This window comes from Homo sapiens, chromosome 20, assembly GCF_000001405.40.
Source record: "Homo sapiens chromosome 20, GRCh38.p14 Primary Assembly".
NCBI classification, from domain to species: domain Eukaryota; kingdom Metazoa; phylum Chordata; class Mammalia; order Primates; family Hominidae; genus Homo; species Homo sapiens.
Genome location: NC_000020.11, coordinates 24,344,415 through 24,351,653, shown reverse-complemented (window position 1 = coordinate 24,351,653; position 7,239 = coordinate 24,344,415). Strand labels below are relative to the sequence as shown.

Sequence of the window (7,239 nt, the reverse complement as noted above, 5' to 3'; positions counted from 1 at the left end):
AGGAATATAATTTCCAGTAATGGCAACATTTTCAAGAACATTCTATTTTCACTAAAACAAATGACCTATCCTGAATAAATTTTCACTATGAGTGAACAATCCCTTCTGTGCATTTTGTTCTGACTGCGGAAAACCTGAGAGGCTGAATAAGGAGGAGGGAGGAATAAGGAAGCCAGAGGGAGCCGCTTCCTTGGAGTAATCCCCGCATCAGTATGGCGGGCACCAGACAGGGTCTGGGAGGTCACGTCCTACAGGCAAGGCTGTTTCAAGGGCTGCTACCTTAATCAGTTATTCTGGCATGAACGTGATTGACTGGGCCGCGCCTTCCTGCACCACCTGAGAAATCGGCTGGGCTTCACCTCCTGTCCTTGCCAGCTCAGATGTGAGTGATGCTTCTGCTGGGCCGGGGCTGGAAATCACTCAGTGACTGGGGAGGCCAAGATGTTCTGACTGACAGAGGCCTTGGGGTTGGCTTCCTGGAACAGCAGTTCTGAAAAGATCTCTCTGTGTCTTTGGTTTAAAGATTATCTTGGCTCATCTAAATTGCTTGGCCCTCGTCTTCAAATTGGTCTCATCCCAAAAGTATGTCTGTTCTTTGACCAGAATTTCAGATTACTCAGACTTTTCTTAGTCCAGACTCTAGATTAACTGGGGTTTGTTATTGCTCAATAAAACACCGTTGTTTCTCTTACATTTGGTAGGATGTGTGGTGGGTGTGGGTAATAGGATCTGGGCAGGAGAAACTGTATAGGGGAGACTGTGGAAACCGTAGGCACATTCTCATTAATTTTGTTTTTAAAAACTAATATTATGTTTAATTGACAAATCATAAGGAATAACATGTATAGAAGACACTGTGGCGTTTTGATGGATGTTTACAATGTACACAAGGGAAGGGATTTGTTGTAGCAACACCCCACTTCCCTGGTACCAATTTTCTATCTTTGTTTTGTGCTGTTGTAAAAGAATGCCTGAGAACAAATAGTTTATAAAGAAGAGAAATTTATTTCTTACAGTTTTAGAGGTGGAGAAGTCTAAGACTGAGGAGTCAGAAGGCAAGGGCCTTCTTGCTATGTCATAGCCTGGCAAAAGGCATCACATGGTGTAAAGGCAAAGGGAAGGCAGGGTGGGGGGTGGGCAAACTTGTCCTTTTATAAGAAACCCACTACCATGATAATGAGCCCATTTTCCACAATAAAGACATTAATCCATTTGTGGTGACAGGGTCCATCTGGTCTAATCACCTCTCAAAGTTCCCATCTCTTAATACTGTTACAGTGGCCATTAAACTTCAGCATGAGTTTGGGGTGACAAATATTCAAACCACAGCACAGCTTACCTGTGAGATACACTCATGTGCCTGTCCCTGTGCAAGCCCCGTATGTGCAGGAGGAAGCAGCAATCATTTTTGTAGTCACCTCCTATCCCCTTGTCTTCTCAGACTTCATTCTCGAAATTATGCATGATCCCTTCTTACCGGATCATCCTGTCTAGCATGCAGAGACACTGTGTTCATGGGAACCGATGAGAGTATGGGCTGATGCTGGTGGCCTCATGTAATAGATAAGCAGGAGCAGGATAAAAGACTCTATCTTCCCTCCAGGTGGGAGATCCCTGAAGTTCAAGTCAGAAGATGAGAAAATTCTTGCGTTTCCACTTGGAGTCCTTCTGACTCTGTTCCTTTTTTATCTTTTTTAAAGATGTGAGTTGCTCTTCTAGCATCCAGAAGATAATCATTAGTTTCCATTGGAAACAAGATGACGTACAACCCCTTTAGTCTAGTTTCTATAGTTGAGTTTCTTTTTTCTCTCTTTGCTAGGTTCTTCTTTGGACACTAAGGATAAATTTCACCACTGCTTGAGATTCCCCTTTGTTATTTCTGTCAGAAGGATTGTCGGTAAAAGCTGACTTCTCAGTTGAGTACAGGGCTTCTGATGGTCACTCACCTTTGTTCTCATTGACACTGACTTTTGGATTTTCTGCTTACTGCCATTAATTTCCTTCTCTTTATGCCAAACCTAGGCTAAGGGCCTAATTATTTGCAGATAGCATTCTATAAAGACTGGCCATGCTTACTCTGAAGGGAGACAACTCACTTTTGTGATTGACATCATGATTTTTTTAACTGTGGGCCTATGGGCAAGCTCTTCAACCCTTCTTTGTCTTTGCCTGATCATCATTAAAAAGTGGGACATAACAGCAACTATGTTTTCAGGATTAAATGAGCTAATAGGGATAAATGCCCAGCATGGCATGAGACCTCCCTAAATTATTTATTTATTTATTTATTTATTTTTGAGACAGAGTTTCACTCTTTCACCCAAGCTGGAGTGAAGTGGCATGATCTCGGCTCACTGCAACCTCTACCTCCCAGGTTTAGGTGATTCTTCTGCCTCAGCCTCCTGAGTGGCTGGGATTACAGGCACCCACCACCACGCCCAGCTAAATTTTTTTGTGTGTTTTTAGTAGAGATTGGGTTTTACCATGTTGGCCAGGCTGGTCTCGAACTCCTGACCTCAGGTGATCCACCCGCCTTGGCCTCCCAAAGTGCTGGGATTACAGGCTACAAGCGTGAGCCATAGCACCTGGCCCAATTCTTTTTTTTTATTTTTTATTTTTGAGACAGAGTCTTGCTCTTTCACCCAGGCCGGAGTGCAGTGGCACTATCTTGGCTCACTGCAAGCTCCGCCTCCCAGGTTCACGCCATTCTCCTGCCTCAGCCTCCCGAGTAGCTGGAACTACAGGCGCCCGCCACCACGCCCGGCTAATTTTTTGCATTTTTAGTAGAGACGGGGTTTCACCGTGTTAGCCAGGATGGTCTCGATCTCCTGACCTCGTGATCCGCCCGCCTCGGCCTCCCAAAGTGTTGGGATTACAGGCATGAGCCACTGCGCCTGGCCAATTATTCTTTATTATGATCAAGATCATTATTTCCATTTCTGTCTATATACTGCAACCTCAACTCATAGTGATGAGAATCCACTCACTACGTTTTTATCAGCATGGATAGCATGGACATATTGGAAATATTAATTTTATTCAGGAAGACAGAAAGACAGTGCACAAGAGGAGTTTATGAAAATCAGAGGGCTTTTAGAGCTCCTACTCTCCTGTCGTTTGATTTAAGTGATGTTTAGAGCTTAGTTTTGGTGATTACTGGCACTAAGAGATGGAAAGGCCCCAGGAACTGTAGTCTTTGCACATGAGTGGTCTCTATGGAACAGAGTGGTGCTCTGGGCAACAAGTCTCCTGTCCCTGCTGTGGCATTGGGAGTGCAGCCTTGCAGACAAGTTCCCACAACTGTTCTATGAGGAAATGTGATTGGTGGGCACCTGAGTGTCTTAGTAGCAATAAAACATCATGTTCCATAGAATAACCCTCTGTGGGCCAGCCGCGGTGGCTCACACCTGAATCCCAGCACTTTGGGAGGCTGAGGCAGGCTAATCATTTGAGGTCAGAAGTTAGAGACCAGCCTGGCCAACATGAAGACACACTGTCTCTACTAAAAATACAAAAATTAGCCAGCTGTGGTGGTGGGCACCTGTAATTCCAGCTACTCGGGACGCTGAGGCAGGAGAATCTTGCTGAACCCAGGAGACAGAGGTTTCAGTGAGCCAAGATCGTGCCACTGCAATTTAGCCTCCGTGACAGAGTGAGACTCTGCCTCAAAATAAAAAAGAAAAAAAAAAAAGAATAAAAAAAAGAATAACCCTCTGTGTCTGATCCTAAGTGCTTCATGTGGAAATCTATGCAAGAGATACTGCAGGCTAAACACAACCTGCATTCGAGCAGTGTAACCTGCACATTATTCATCATGCATGTATGATAACTACTAGGGTAATTGAGCTGTCGAGACCAGAGACCAGGTGGCATTCAGTCTCCCCCAAACAGTTAACTGTCTGGATTATGTATTTAGAACATTGCTAATAAATATTTGGAAACAAGAAATTATAATTTCATTTTTTCTTCAAGCATGATACATGAAGATTTTAGAAAATAAGACATCCTTCTTGGTTCTTGAAGGCAAATTATAAGCTACATCACACTTGATTTATACTCTCTGGCTTTCCTTAGTGGTTTATGCAGATTAATGACATGATAGCTTTTAAAAACTATAAAGTCCACTGCAGGTTTTTCAGATTGATATTAAAGGGGGAAGTAAAGGATACCACGGTGAGGCCAATAGATTAGTACTGTCCAATAGAAATAGAACACAAGCTGCACATGTTACTTTAAGTTACTTTAAGTTTTGTAGTAATTACATTAAACGAAGTTTCAAAAAGTGAAATTAATTTCATTTTAAATTTCTTGAATTTTTATTATTATTTTTTTTGACACAAGGTCTCACTTTGTTACCCAGACTGGAGTACAGTAGTGCCATCTGGGCTCACTGCAACCCCCGCCTCCTGGGCTCAGCCTCCCAAGTAGCTGGGACTACAGGCACTCACCACCAGGTCTGGCTAATTTTTGTATTTTTTGTAGAGATGGGGTTTTGCCATGTTGCCCATGTCTGGTCTCGAACTCCTGGACTCAAGAGATCTGCCTGCTTTGGCCTCCCAAAGGGCTGGTATTACAGAAGTGAGCCACCGTGCCTGTCTCTGAAATTAATTTTAATACCAAGTTTTATTTAAGTGTAGAATATCCAAAACCTTGTTATTTTGATATCATCAATATAAAAAGGTTTATGAGCTGTTATACAAACTTCTTTCATATTAAGTCTTCAAAATCCAAGGTGCACTTTACACCAACAGCACCTCTGACTGTGGACGCTCCAGGTTACACGAACTCAGTGATCATGTGAGGCTCGTGTCTGCTGTGTTGGATGGTGGCAACTTATAAGAAACAATTCAGAGAATCTCCAGGACCCTTTCCCTCGTCACTTCTCAGTTTGTTGAGTGTTCCCAGTGGCTCTTCCAGATCTGAAGATGCTGCAGGTCTCCATGACTTCGCACTTCTGCTCCATATTTCTGAATCATTCTGCCCACCACCCTCTCCCCACCTCTTGTCTCTGACAAATCCTTGTTCTTCCTTCAGAATCTCAACCACGTGTCAACAGCCTGGGGAAGAGTTTTATACCCTAGCTTCCAGACACAATTAATTTGATGTTCTATTTGTACCCTTGACTTATTTTATCATTTATATTTATTTGTTTTCATGTCTTTTTCCCTATCGTGAGTATCTTGGAGACATGAACTGTGTATATCATGCTTATTACCACAATGAATATAAATGCTAACATACCGTATGTGCTATAATAAATAAATGGCTCTAGATCTTAATTTTAAAGTCAGGCCTAAGGATGTTTCTATGGGCTGCCCGTTGCTTCTTATGTAGTCTATTTACAAAGAATGCTGGAAAGGCCAAATCAGATATTGGTTTCGCGCAATGTAACAGAACCATACTAATAAATCTTAATAATTAATAGTAAATATTAATATTACCTTTTACAAAATTTAACTTTTAACTTGTATTTTATGTACAGCATATGTGAGGTTTGTTATAGGTAAACTTGTGTCATGGGGGGTTGTTGTACAGATTATTTCATCACCCAGGTATTAAGCCAGTACCTATTAGTGATTTTTCCTGATCCTCTCCCTCATCCACCCTCCACCCGCCAGTAGGCACCAGTGTGTCTTGTTCTGCTGTATGTGTCCACGTATTCTCATCATTTAGCTCACACTTATAATAAGAACATGTGATACTTGATTTTCTGTTCCTGCATTAGTTTGTTAAGGATAATGGTCTCTAGCTTCATCCATGTTCCTGCAAAGGACATAATCTCATTCTTTCTTATAGCTGCATAGTATTCCATGGTGTGCATGTACCACATTTTCTTTATCCAGTCTACCATTGATGGGCATTTAGGTTGATTCCATGTCTTTGCTATTGTGAATAGTGCTGCAGTGAAAATATGGGTGCCTGTGTCTTTCTAATAGAAAAATGCATATTCCTTTGGGTATATACCCAGTAATAGGATTGCCAGTCAAATGGTATTTCTGTTTTTAGGCCCTTGAGGAGCTACCACACTGTCTTCCACAATTGTTGAACTAATTACACTCCCACCGACAGTGTTTAAGTGTTCCTTTTTCTCTGCAACCTTGCCAATATGTATTTTTTTTTTTACTTTTTAATAATAGCCACTCTGACGTGTATGAGATGGTGTCTCATTATGGTTTTGATTTGCATTTCTCTAATGACCAGTGATGTTGAGCTTTTTTTCATATGATTATTGGCCACATGTATGCCTTCTTTTGCAAAGTGTTTTTTCTTGTAGTTTGCCCACTTTTTAATGGGGTTGTTTGTTTTTTTTTCTTGTAAATTTGTTTAAGTTATAGATGCTGGATATTAGACCCTTGTTAGATGCATAGTTTGCAAAAATTTTCTCCCATCCTGTAGGTTGTCTGTTTGCTCTGTTGATAGTTTCCTTTGCTGTGCAGAAGCTCTTTAGTTTAATTAGGTCCCATTAGTCAATTTTTGCTTTTGTTGCACTTGCTTTTAGTGTCTTCATCATGAAATCTTTGCTGATTCCTATGTCCAGAATAGTACTGTCAAGGTTGTCTTCTAGGGTTTTTATAGTTTTGGGTTTTACATTTAAGCCTCTAATCCAGCTTAAGTTAATTTTTGTATATGATGTAAGAAAGTACTCCAGTTTCAACCTTTCACATATGGCTAGCTAATTATCCCAGCACCATTTATTAAATAGGAAGTCCCCATTGCTTGTTTTTGAATAGGAAGTTCCCCATTGCTTGTTTTTGTCAGGTTTGTTGAAGATCAAATAGTCATAGGTGTGTGGCCTTATTGCTGGTTTCTGTATTCTGTTCCATTTGTCTATTTGTCTGTTTTTAAACTAGTACCATTGCTGATTTGGTTACTGCAGCCCTGTAGTATAGTTTAAAGTCAGGTAGCATGATTCCAGCTTTGTTCTTTTTGCTTAGGATTGCCTTAGCTATTTGGGCTTTTTTGTTTGTTTGTTTGTTCCACATGAATTTTGAAAGTGTGTTTTTTTTAGTTCTGTGAAAAATGTCATTGGTAGTTTGATAAGAATAACATTGAATCCATAATTTGCTTTGGGCAGTATGGCCATTTTAATGGTATTGATTCACCCCATCCACGAGCATGGAATGTTTTTCTATTTGTTTGTGTTATCTCTGATTTCTTTAAGCAGTGTTTTGTAGTTCTTCTGGTAGAGATCTTTGGCCTCCCTGGTTAGCTGTAGTCCTAGGTATTTTATTTTATTTT

At 40.9% G+C, this 7,239-nt stretch overlaps 1 long non-coding RNA gene across 1 annotated transcript in view; it reads left to right on the top strand.

Annotated features, from left to right (window-relative positions):
• Positions 1 to 212: 212 nt before the first annotated feature.
• The window catches only part of LOC105372577 (uncharacterized), a 43,176-nt gene continuing 36,149 nt past the window's right edge, over positions 213 to 7,239 (top strand). The window contains exon 1 of the long non-coding RNA XR_001754558.2: positions 213 to 382. This is a non-coding gene — a long non-coding RNA (uncharacterized LOC105372577). The remainder of the gene's footprint in view (positions 383 to 7,239) is intronic.